The sequence below is a fragment of the Homo sapiens genome, chromosome 3 (genome assembly GCF_000001405.40).
Source record: "Homo sapiens chromosome 3, GRCh38.p14 Primary Assembly".
In the NCBI taxonomy this organism is placed as follows: domain Eukaryota; kingdom Metazoa; phylum Chordata; class Mammalia; order Primates; family Hominidae; genus Homo; species Homo sapiens.
This window is the reverse complement of record NC_000003.12, coordinates 38494940-38507910: the sequence shown is the minus strand read 5'-3', so window position 1 is coordinate 38507910 and position 12971 is coordinate 38494940. Positions and strand designations below refer to the sequence as shown.

The window sequence follows — 12971 nt, the reverse complement described above, 5'->3', positions numbered from 1 at the left end:
TCGCCTGCCTCGGCCTCCCAAAGTGCTGGGATTACAGGCATGAGCCACTGAGCCTGGTCTGCAATCTAGTTGTTATCCTGGAACTTCTCCCTCTTCCTCACTCAAACAAGTTATTTATTCATGGTTACTCTTTCCTGTGTTCCTCTATTATTCCTCACTCCAACTGCTTGTATGTCCTAACTCATCTCCTTGCCTCTAATCTCTTCTTCAAATGCTCCCTTTTCCCACCTATCTCTTTACACGCTGCTGCCAAAATACTCTTTATAAAACCCAAATATCATATTTCTCCCACGCTTAAAACAAATCTATGACTTCTTAGTGCCTAAAAATTAAAACCCAAGTCTTCATCATAGAATAGAAAGTCGCATATTATCTCACCCGTCCACCTGTTGTTATGGAACTCTTCATACCCCTTGAGCCACCCACACTGTTTTGTACCATAAGCTCCAATTTTTATGAATGATATATAAATCTCAAAACCCTGATGTTGACCACAAATGTCCTGTGCTCATCCTGCTCCATCCTCTGGAATCCTCAGGGTCCACTCCTGACTCTTATCTGTCAAGGTATAGCTCAATATCACTTCCTCTTTTAAGCGTTCCTGACTCATATGAGTAGAGCCCATCAGTCCTTTCACAAGACCACACTGTGTGTGTTTACCTCTATTACAGCATGTCACACTTTAATGTAATTAATTGTTAACATCTGTTTTCCACTCTAAACCGTGAGTTCCTTGAAGTCAATAGTTGCTTTTATCCATCACTATATTCCCTATGCCTATCATTCCTAATAGGTGTTCAATAAATATTGTTGAATAAGTGAAATTAAAAAGTAGAATGCAAAATTTTTTTTGAATGATAAAAATAAAAATAAAAAGCAGAATGGAAAGTGAGATTATAATCTCATACAGATAACATAAACCTGACTATTAAACATCCTTACCTGGTAACTAACTATTTTCTTTCCATCGCCTCTAGTCTGAGGTAAGGTCAAAGGCCCAGATACCACCCAAACATCTTCAAACCTTTCTGTCAGCTCTCGACAGTACATTTCTATTCTGAAAAACAAATAAAAAAATGTATGATATTCTCACATATATACATGTAAGACAGCAGCAAATCATATCAATTCCTATGAAAGATACCAAGAAAAACTGCATTTGAGAAATTAAACAAGAACATGGCACAAAACATTATAAGCATATAAACAATTATTTTCCCAGTTTGCTTACTGCACAGAAAAAACTTAAAAATCACATACACTAACAAAACTATCTACATTTTTCTTTATGTGCGCTCAGAGTACATTCTGGAATTCAAATTTCATGAACTTAAAACTTTTTTTATGCCATAGTTCCCAACCAGCTTTCAAGAATTATGTATCATTCCAACAAGATGATATACTTTATTTAACCATTCCTCTTGCAGGACAATTGGGCTTATGTTAACATTTCTTATATAATGCAACGTTGTATCAATTCCTTAGGATAAATTTCAAGGACCAGAATTACTGAATGAATTTATTTTAAAGACTCGTCATCATATGTAAAACTAACATTTTTAATAGGGTTATATCAATTTACTCTATAAGCTTTTAATAGGGTTATATCAATTTACTCTAAAAAATTAAAATACAACACAGCAGTTTCACAACAATCTTTATAATGCTGGGATTTATCATTTAAAATCTGTTTTTGTCAACTTACCAGATAAAAATGGCAAGTATTTTTTTTTTCTTTTTTTTAGATGGAGTCTCACTCTGTCACCCAGGCTGCAGTGCAATGGTGCAATCTCAGCTCACTGCAACCTCTGCCTCCCGGGTTCAAGTGATTCTCCTGCCTCAACCTCCCGAGTAGCTGGGATTACAGGTGCCCAAATGGCAAGTAGTTGTAATATGTACTTTCATATACATATGAAAGTATGTATATGACTGCAGTTGGAAGTTTTTTTTTTTTTTCTTTTGAGACGGAGTCTCACTCACTCTGTCACCCAGGCTCAGCTCACTGCAACCTCCATCTCCTGGGTTTAAGCGATTCTCCTGCCTCAGCCTCCCGAGTAGCTGGGATTTTAGGTGTGTGCCACCACACTCGGCTAATTTTTTTTTTATTTTTAGTGTCTACTAAAATAGACAGTTTTGCCACGTTGCCCAGACTGGTCTCCAACTCCTGACCTCAAGCGATCTGCCCACCTCGGCTTCCCAAAGTGCTGGCATTACAGGCATGAGCCACTGCACCCGGCCCAGTTGGAAGAGATTTCTAAATGAGAGATAACAATGCATGTCCTCATTCCTCAGTTTCTTATCTAAAAAGTAAAATCCAATTATTTTTATAGGCTGGTATAAGTGCAGTGGTGTTTACAACTAATTGTTCACAACCAGTTACATACTTCTTTGTTCCTTCTCTACTCCCACTGCTTCACTTGACTGGCCTTAAAAATTTTTTTAAATTATTTTTAATAGGGTGTATATATATGTCCAATTACAAGGTAAAGTTTTCCTCCCAGAAATTTATCTCTTGGGAAAAGAAAATGTTAAATGCTTCCACAGGTATGCGATCAGCAAATCCAGAATATGGAAAGGAAACTCTAGGACAAACATCCTAGATCTTCAACAGATAATCTGAATGGAGGAAAAAAAAAAAGAAAGGAAAATCTACAGATTTATAGGAACTAAAGAGACATATCAACCAAATTTTTGTGTCTATCTTATTTGAATCCTGGTTCAAACCAACCAACAACAACAAAAAATTAAAGACAACCAGGAAAATTTGAACACTGACTATAAAATTGGTAATAAAGAATTATTGTTAAATTCTTTAAGGGCATTAATAATACTGTGGTTATATTTTAAAAGAATCCTTATCTTCTAAATATATGTAACGAAACATTTATGGATAAAATATCTGCAATCTGCTAAAAATAATCTGAGTGGGGCAAAGTGAGGGTATGTAGATGAAACAAATGTCGCCATGACTGATAACTGCTGAAGTCTCTCATTGGTGCAGGGTGCTCTCTTCATTATTTTAAACCACAAAGTACTATATGGGGAAAAACACAATAGCCTGAAAGAACCTCAAACCGTTAGTTTTAGATGCATAAAGAAGCCACCTGACAGTGTCAGAAAAATGTAGAAGGCCCAGATTATTTTATAGTTAGGTTCTATCAAAAACTGGTTAATAGTGGCCGTGCGTGGTGGCTCATGTCTGTAATCCCAGCACTTTGGGAGGCCAAGGTGGGCAAATCACGAGGTCAGGAGTTCAAGACTAGCCTGGCCAACATAGTGAAACCCCATGTCTACTAAAAATACAAAAATTAGCCGGGTGTGGTGGCGTGTGCCTATAATCCCAGCTACTCGGGAGGCTGAGGCAGGAGAATCGCTTGAACCCGGGAGGCGGAGGTTGTAGTGAGCCGAGATTGTGCCACTGCACACCAGCCCGGGCGACAGTGTGAGACTTTGTCTCAAAAAAACAAAAAACAAACAAAAAAACTGGTTAATAGTTACATTAAACTATACCCCAACTTTTTTTAAGTTCAGGAACTTTTTTTTTTGAGATAGGGTCTTGCTCTGTTGTCCAGACTGGAGTGCAGTGGCACAATCACCGCTCACTATAGCCTCAAACTCCTGGGCTCAAGTGATTCTCCCACCTCAGCCTCCTGAGTAGCTGGGATACAGGCATGGACCACCACACTTGGTTAATTTTTTAAATTTTTAGTAGAGACAAGGCTTCACTATGTCCCAGGCCAGTCTCAAACTGCTGGCCTCAAGCAATTCTCCTGCCTCGGCCTCTCCAGGTGCTGAGACTATAGACATGAACCACTGACCCTGGCCTAAAGCTCAGGAGCTCTTGAAATACAAAACTGTTTTTTTAAAAAAAGCTAAGAAATATTGGAATACAAGAGAAAATAATAGTGTTCACTGAACACACTCAAAAAAGATGCTGCCTCAATTATTAAGATTATTATTTTGAGTCATTTCTTTCAAAACTTGACTTTTGAACAGTGGCAAACATGATCAAAAAGGCAGGCTACGTTTTGAAGTCTGATCTTCTGTAGAAGGCTGTACTCCCAAAACACAGCAAAGAAAACTGGCCCAACATACTTACCTTCAGAGGCTTAGCTTTTGAAAAACAAAGACAGAAACAGCTAATAGGCACATCAGTACATTCTCCTGTCACTTCATTTATCTTCCATAGAATCATGTTTTTAAAACTCTCATCCCTCACCTGTTCCAATATCCAGAATTATTATCAAAATCCTGAGGCACAATGTTAGAAAGGTAAAAGGTTTCAGCCATGGCTTTCTGTAAAGAAAGAAACATAGTAACTTGCACTGAAATGCTTTCCCCTTTAAAAGATATTTTATTAAAAAGACACAGAAAAACACTTTCTTATTTAAACATTAGTGCTAGGCAATTATTGACTACTTGTTTCAATAAATGAAAGCCATAATTATTCCAGGACAGAAAGCTCTTATAATAATTATTCAAAATGAGGACTATAAAGTAAGTAGTCAGGTAGGCTTATCAATTATAAAATCCAAACCTATAACGTGAATTCTAAGAACTAAATATTTCCAACACAAAGCTTAAGGGCAAATTCTGGTTTTAAGCCTCTGGCAAAGAGTTTCTCAATAGAGATCAATTTTCACAAAAGTTATTTTAGTACAGTACAAACATACTAGTTCAAAAGTGGCAGAGAAAACGTCCTTGTTCTTCTGAATATCTGGCCACTATGTGTTCATTCACTTCACATTTTTCACCCAAATATACAAGGCTCTACCTCACTGTAATTTCCTCACTGATCTATACTAACTGCCAATGCTACAAGTACCTTCTCTTCAAGCAGTCGCTCTCAATCTTGGGTGCACATTGGAATAATCTAGGGAGCTTTAAAAATATTGATATTGATGCCTGGGTCTCATCCCTGAGAGTTTCCAGTTTTGTAAGTATGAGGTTCAGGTCTGGGCATCAGGACTGCAAAAACTTCTCCAGGTGATTATAATGAGTGTCCAAGGTTGAGAATTACTATCTTAATGACATAATCACCAATAGTTTACGCAACAATTGTCAATATCATGAAAGACACTCCTCCCACTTTTTGGCAGGGAAATCATTCTAGATTAAAGAAGACTAAAGAAATATGATAACTAAATGTAATGTGTGATTCATGATTGAATACTGAATCAAAAAAGCTATAAAGGTCATAATTAGGACCATGTGGGAAAGCTGACTATACATTGTATTTTAGATAATATTACTGCACAAATATATAAAAATGTATTAGTATACACTTCTTGGTGTGATACTTGTATTTATATATACTCATATATATAAACATCCTCATTCTTAGATGATGCATACTCCTGAGCAATCCATTTAGAAATAAAACATGTCTGCAACTTTGTCAATGGTTGCAGAATTTACATATGTATATGTAAAGTAAATGTATCAATGTTTGTTGTACTATTTTTTCACCTTTTCTATAAATTTCTACAAATTAAAAAAATTTTTTAAAATAAATTAGCCAGGCATGATGAAACATGACTATAGTCCTAGTTAGTCGGGAAGCTGAGGAAAGAGGACCGTATAAGCCTAGGAGTTCAAGACTACAGTAAGCTATGATTCCACCACTGTACTCCAGCCTGGGCATCAAAGCGAGACTCTGTCTCTAATTAACTAATTAAAAATAAGTGAGTGGCTGAGCACAGTGGCTCACGCCTGTAATCCCAGCACTTTGGGAGGCCGAGGCAGGTGGATCACCTGAGGTCAGGAGTTTGAGACCAGCCTGGCCAACGTGGTGAAACCCCATCTCTACTAAAAATACAAAACACCTGGGTGTGGTGGCGGGAACCTGTAATCCCAGCTACTCGGGAGGCTGAGGCAGGAGAATCACTTGAACCCGGGAGGCGGAGGTTACAGTGAGCCAAGATCGTGCCATTGTACTCCAGCCTGGGTGACAGAGAGAGACTCCATCTCAAAAAATAAATAAACAAACAAACAAAAATTAGCTGAGCATGGTGACGCACCCCTGTAATCCCAGCCACTCAAGAGGCTGAGGCACAGGAATTGCTTGAACCTGGGAGGCAGAGGTTGCAGTGCGCCGAGATCAAGCCACTGTGCTCCGACCTGGGCAACAGAGTGAGTGAGACTCCGTCTCAAAAAAATAAATAAATAAAAGTGAGTAGCTTCAGCTCCCAGTGGCTTTCTAGTTCCCTTCACATAGCACTTAGTTTTCCTCATTCAACCTGTTTAAAAATGTCTCGGTATGTGATTGAAAGAAGAGACATATTGTCAGGAAGAAAAATAAGAGTATGGAAATTCTCAAGTTTTAAGGTTTGGCTCCTAGGTTTTTAAACCTCTAATTCCTGTTGTATGCATAACATCAGCCCCATATTCCCATCCCTCCCCCAAAGTATGCCTACACTTGAAAATTTGTTATTTCCTGCTGGAGCCATGTGTCCTCGTGACCACCCACTTCCAACATAATCTTCATTGAAGGCACTGAAGGTTGGAGGGATATTGGGATCAGGCTTAAATTTACAATGCTTTCTGTCTGCATCACCTGAAGAAAAACACACAAAATGGATATGTTATCAGTAGACAAATGTCCCTCAAGATTCTCTAAGCAAGGCAAGCTGGTTGCTACTGGCTGGTGTCTCTCCAAGCAGCTAGTATTAGGGATTGCATGCATGTCTCAAGTTCCTGGGATAGTTCAGATACTTCATCTGAATTTAGAAAGTACTAGTCTAGGAAAGAATGCTTTTCATACAGTGTAGCTATCTCATATAATTTTGACTCTGGCCTTTCCAGTTAAAGAAAAACTCCTCTGAATAGTATTTTAAGTAAAAACAATCACCAATCAAAACACTAAACTATATAAAAAGCTTGGCTACTAAATAAACTCTTGTTTTTTAAAAAAGACTCCCATGTATTGTATTTTGTACGATTGTATTTGACAAGTTTATGTGTACTGAAATAATGGATATATATAGACACAAAACAATTTGTTCTAGGCAAGCACAGCCTTGGGGAGAGGAGTGTCTCTGATATCTTGCTTACTGCCTCTCGAACCATGACAAAATAAACATTTAAGTTATGAGCTCCACCCAGAAATTTCTAAAACAGAATATCTGGGTACCACATAGGAGAGAAGAAATCTCAGATTTTATTTATTTTCTGACACCTCCAGAATGGTTTGTCACAGAGAACATTAGCAAATCCTAACACTACCTATTGCACTATCGTGAGGTGAGACTTTCTTAAACTACAAAAGTTATGACAACAAATGAAACATACTCAGACTGTTATTCAAAGAAGTGTAAAATGGAGAACAATGAAGTCACTGATTCCAAGGTGATTTCATTCAGCCAAGAAAAATTTAGTATCAGATCCCAAAGTTTACAGTAAAGTATCATATATGTAGCTTTTTAGAATCACTTTATAAAGAATAATACAGAAAAATTTATCATTAGTAAATTTCTAAGTGTCATTACCATTGGAATCACTTCCTTCTACAGCTAGTTATCTTTGGCTGGTGCTTACTGCCCTGGAAAAGCAATTTGTAGGAATTTCCAAAGACCTAAAAAGATACCTTCCTTGAGAAAAGATATAAATTTACTGCTGTAAGGTGTCTAGCAGTATTCCCAGTGGAGAACCGTATTAAACCATGCTCAGGGATTAAGGTTCCCTGATCTCCTCTCGATGCACAGATTTGGGCTGTAAGTCTGCATGATAGCCAGTTTTTGACTTTACCTTCTCTGGAACAAACTTTTTATCTTCCTTTTGACCTTTCTCCGTTCAGTGCCAAGACAACCTTCCATGTAGTCCCTAAGAGTGGGCAGGGAAGTTAGTTCTAGTTCACTCTTCCCTGAGGATGTAGCCCTTTGGAGTTCCAGGGTAACACAGGAAGGGTCTCCTACACTGCAAGACCTACAGGACAATCTACCTTGGGTGAGTCTTAGGTCTTTCCTTCAATCCTCCTCACCCCATAATGCTGTGAATTCAAAGGCAAATGTGGTTTTGGTTTGCCAAGACTGCGCTTACCTCTTTGGATTCTCGCTTTCTCCCACCAACACTAACCTAGCAATTCGCCACTATGCTGCTGGCTCTTCATTTTTCTTAAGCCATTTTTTAAAAGATATACTTTTAGTTGGGCATAGTGGCACATACCTGTAATCCCAGCTACTCAGGAGGCTGAGGCAGGAGGGTCACTTGAACCCAGAAATTCAAGACCAGCCTAGGCAACATAGCAAAAATCCATCTCAAAAAAAAAGGTAAAAAAAATACAGATATACACTTTTTATATACTAACATTTTCTGTTTCAGCAGGAAGATTCTATCTGAATAACTCAGTCCATCATTACTGAAAACAGAAGACCTTTTACATTAAAATCAAGTAAAACACAGGTACATTGCTCCCTATTTTCAAATAATATTAATTGGCTCTATTTTATTGCCTCAAAAGTACACAGCTCACAAGACTTATTATACAATATAAAATGCCCAGGTTTTCTTATATGCTTGATAAAGTTTTCACTTACATCAGTTTCTGTCTAACACCAAGTACATTCCAAGCCTCCTGTTATTCTGCTGGTTGCTGTGCACTCTAGAATGGCACACACTAACTTTAATATCAGCATTTTAATATGCATAGCCATAGCACACATTTTAAAGCAAAGGAGAATATGTGGAACACACAGCAAATTAAAAAGCAAATAACAAAAGGGAACAAAACAACTGTGACAAAAGGTAATATCCTTAATAAATAAAAGAACTTTTACAAATAAATTCAAAAGAGAATACCCCAACTGAAATAGGTAAAGAATAACTTACCAAAAAAGACTAATTCACAGCATGTTAACCCTCATTGATAATCAATAAACACAAGTAAAATGAGCATTAAATTGGTAAAGCTCAGTAATGCTCACCATAGGTGAAGGTTGAGAGAGAGAAGAAACAATGATGCTAGGAGTGTAAACTTGAAGAATCTACCTAGAAACCAATTTGACATTAATTATCAAGATCTGGCAATTCTACAGGACCCTATCAAGACATAAGGACACATGAATAAACTGACACACCTGCTTACTTCTCCAGCATCATTTCACATCACCTTCCCCCTCATTCATCTACTGGCACTCTTTTAGTTCCCTAAAAGAACAAAACTCCTGTCCACATTGGGGGCCTCCGAAGATGCAAATGTTCCTTTCTTCCTAGAATGCTCTTCTCCATATCCCATGGCACATTCAACCCCTTGCCTAAGTAATTTCCGTTCACTCTTCAGTCCACTTTTCCAGAGAAGCCTTACTAATCAAAATCAGGTTCTTGTGTTATAATCTCTCATCACACTTTTTTTTTTTTTTGAGACACATTCTCCCTCTGTTGCCTAAGCTGGAGTGTGGTGCTGCGATCTTGGCTCACTGCAACCCCCACCTCCTGGGCTCAAGAGATCCTCCCATCTCAGTCCCCCAAGTAGCTGGAACCACAGAGGTGCACCACCACGCCCAGCTAATTTTTGTATTTTTTGTAGAAACGCGGTTTTGCCATGTTGGCCAGGCTCATCTCAAACTCCTGAGCTCAAACGCCTCAGCCTCCCAAAGTACTGGGATTACAGGTGTGAGCCACCACGCCCAGCCTCTCATCAAACTTTTTACTGTTCCTTAATTATACTACACTAACTTGCAATCACCTCCTTTGGAAAAATTATTGTAATTATACATCTAAAATTATTTGTTTGATGGGTCAACCCACTCTCCCAACTCAAAGTGTCACTGGGGTAGAGATCCTCTACTCTGGTCACACATAGGTCCCCAAGGGTTACCACAGTGCCAGACACATAGCAGGCACATAAATATTTGTTAAGGTAAAACTGAATGGTGCTCATTGCTGTAATATTTATGACAGAGCCTCCCAACTAGTGTGTCAAGATATGGGTATTTTCAGCCCTGAGACAGCTGGAAAGGGTCTGGCTTTCTGGCTGCCAGGCAGGGTTGATTTAACCAGTAAGTTATATAAATATAATTTTCTACATGTGCTATGATATGAAAAAGGTTGAGAATATTAATAATCATCCCTGTTTTAAATTTGGAGACATCTTTCATAAATACTGTTACTTCAGTTTTTTTATCCAACCACCTACCCATTATCTTGCTTTTGGAAATATGTTCAAGAACCCATCTAGGCACCCGCTTTGCCTGATCATAAGACAAAGCGTGATTAGTGTAACACCTTGCCTCTGTTCCAGTTAAAGGGAATCCAAATTGTTCCAAGACAGCCTTTTCTGCAGATCCTAAAAATGAAAAAAAAAAAAAAAGGGGGGGCAGAGACAAAAAAAACACACACACACAATTAGTGGCTCTTAATAATGAAAGATTATAAGGAAAAGGAGAGCGGTGTGATTTACAAAGGACTGGCTCAGAAGTCTAATCAACCAGAAAATCTCATTTTTGCAATTACTTATGAGATGAAGAAAACAGACAGTAGGCAAAGTACTGATTTGCCTATAATCAGTGAATAAAATGCAGCTACTGCATTAACTTTTGAATAAAGACTTGATCTTATTAGTCTTTCACATCAAATTTCCAAATCATCTCTGAAGCACTGATATGTGTGCTGTTGCAAGATGACAGTAAAACTGGTACTGTTTTTCCTAGTGGGAGAAACCAAGCACACATTCAGCAGTGAGTCAGTTTCGAGATAATCCTCCCCGATGCCTTCTCAAATCCTCAACCCCCCAAGGGGGTAGTTCTCTTGCTAGATGCCAAGTATCCAAAGGAGCAAGTTAAATTAGCACATCCGCAAAGTACAAGAAATGAGCTCGTGTTAATTTTTTTTTTTTTTTTGTCAAATATAAGGTACCCATTGCAACATGAGTTTTTATACACTTTGGAGGGATAGCAGGTATTCTTCAACTGAACAATGACGAAAGAAGGGCAGTTAACTCATCTACTAAAATTATGTATTAATTTATTCCTTCATTCATACTTACTGAATGCCAATTATGTACCAGGTACTGTGCTGGTTAGATGATGGAGACCAAAACAGACATAGTCTCAAGTCTTATGGAGCTAACAATCTTAGTAGAGAACACAGACATTAAAACATAGATATCGCGATGAGTAACTGGGGGGAAGAAAGTCGGGCGGCGGGGGTGGTTCTGTGCAGAAAACGAAGATGCCCGGGGGAAGGAAGGACATGAGGGAAGCTGGCGAGACGCGAGGTGGGGAAGGGAGGCCGAGCCGGGAGAATAAAGGTCAGAAACCAAGGGCCAGGCTAGGGGCCCAGCAAACGGTGAAGGCTGTCCGTCAAGGACTGCCATTCACACTCCAGGTAGGAGTCGGAGCCCGAAATCTGGGCCAGCGAAGGGAGGACGGGCCCACAGACTTACCATCCGGCTGCTTCCCTGTCAACGCTCCCTCAGCGCCCTGACTCCGGAAGAACTGCAGGGCCGCGAGCCCAGCTCCCGCAGCGCCCACTACAGCCCCAGCCACGAAGCCGCTCAGAAAACGACGGGAACCCCGGAGGCGGGAAGCGATACTCTTGATAGCCATCTTGCCCGAGGTACCGGCCTTTTACCACGGCGCATGCGCGCGCATGCCGGCCCCCGCCATCCCCCCGTCACCCCACGCCTCACCGCCCGCCAAGCTGAGGGCCTCGCACGCCCCCTGGTGACAAACCGGGATGCCTAGCGCATCCCCGCTTCATCCCTGGTCCACTGGACGGGGCGATGGATGGGGAATATGATGTCTAGAGGGCTTAGTGGTATGCTATATATAGTCATGAGAAGAAAATACCTTTAGTCTCATTTAATAGGTGAGTAAACACTTGCGCATGGTTACACTAAGGTCTCCAGAGCCGATATTCCAACTCAGGTCTATTTATTTATTTAGCGACAGGGTCTCTGTTACCCAGGCTGCAGTACAGTGGAATGATCATAGCTTACTGCGATCTCGAACTCGTGGGCTCAAGCGATCCTCCTGCCTCAGCCTCCTGAGTAGCTGGGACTACAGGCACGTGCCACATTGCCCGGCTAAATTTTTGGCGGGAGTGGGGGAGCGGTAAAGAAGGGGGTCTCCTTATGTTGCCCAGGCTGGTATCCAACTTCTGGCCTCAAGCAATCTTCCCGCCTCGGCCTCCCAAAGTGCTGTAAGTCCAGGTGTGTGTCACTGTCCCCAACCTTCTCTTTTAAATTGGAATAATAATACTTAGACCATAGCGTTCTTGTGAGGATTAAAGGAGATGACACATGTAAAATGTTTAGGGAAGTACCAGGGGCATGTCACTAAGTGCTCTATAAATGTTAGAAATGTTTGAGTCATCTCTACTCTTTGTCTTGATAGAATATAAAATCCAGATTGCTGAACGCCTGCTGGCAAAGAAAGGATAGATTTCATGGACTACCACTCACAAACAAATGAGTCTTCATTTTGCAGCATGATCTCTAGCATTCCGTGTGGACTTAGTTCTTAGCAGAAACTTCAAGTTTCCTATTTCTTAGATAACTGGTAGGAATAACTTTCATCTGATCCCACTGATGATTCACTGACCAGGAGGCCACTTCTAACAACCTACTGAAGTGTGCACATTATTTTGACAGCCTCAAATGGGAGGCTACCCCCTTGCCAGGAATACCTCTTCTGAAGGACCCTGACTGGTTAAGCTACATCAACCAGAGTCCTTCCTAGGGATTTTCGATCTAGTAGTCTCTCTGGGTAGCAAAGCTGTGACGTAAAACTCACAGGCGCAGTGGCTCATGCCTGCAATCCCAGCACTTCGGGAGGCCAAGACTGGAGGATCACCTGAGGTCAGGAATTTGAGACCAGCCTGGCCAACATGGTGAAACCCCGTCTCTACTAACAATACAAAAATCAACCAGGTGTGGTGGCGCGTGCCTGTAATCCCAGCTACTCGAAAGGCTGAGGCAGAATTGCTTGAACCCAGGAGACGGAGGTTGCAGTGAGCTGAGATCGTGCCACTGC

At 40.2% G+C, this 12971-nt stretch overlaps 1 protein-coding gene across 24 annotated transcripts in view, besides 2 other annotated features; it reads right to left on the bottom strand.

The window, feature by feature from the left end:
• The window catches only part of EXOG (exo/endonuclease G), a 29964-nt gene extending 18393 nt beyond the window's left edge, over positions 1 to 11571 (bottom strand). For 5 of the 24 annotated variants that reach the window (XR_940530.4, XR_940529.4, XR_940528.2 and 2 more), the window contains exons 1-5: positions 11381 to 11571; positions 10133 to 10282; positions 6417 to 6556; positions 4220 to 4296; positions 943 to 1057 (exon numbers count right to left, since the gene is read on the bottom strand). Coding sequence is in view for 11 of the 24 variants with exons in the window: in NM_005107.4 (NP_005098.2) it covers positions 943 to 1057; positions 4220 to 4296; positions 6417 to 6556; positions 10133 to 10282; positions 11381 to 11543 (645 nt within the window). In the remaining 13 variants the exon portion in view is untranslated. Of the gene's footprint in view, positions 1 to 942; positions 1058 to 4219; positions 4297 to 6416; positions 9145 to 10132 lie in introns of those variants that run through there. The other 19 variants (NR_134938.2, NR_153322.2, NR_153329.2 and 16 more) reach the window with 18 other exon arrangements.
• Positions 11243 to 11312: an enhancer, noted in NCBI's record as "active region_19686". NCBI's record gives its function as "activates an Ori minimal core promoter by ATAC-STARR-seq in GM12878 lymphoblastoid cells {active_cell/tissue: GM12878}" and the evidence as "EXISTENCE:reporter gene assay evidence [ECO:0000049][PMID:35858748]".
• Positions 11373 to 11422: an enhancer, noted in NCBI's record as "active region_19685". NCBI's record gives its function as "activates an Ori minimal core promoter by ATAC-STARR-seq in GM12878 lymphoblastoid cells {active_cell/tissue: GM12878}" and the evidence as "EXISTENCE:reporter gene assay evidence [ECO:0000049][PMID:35858748]".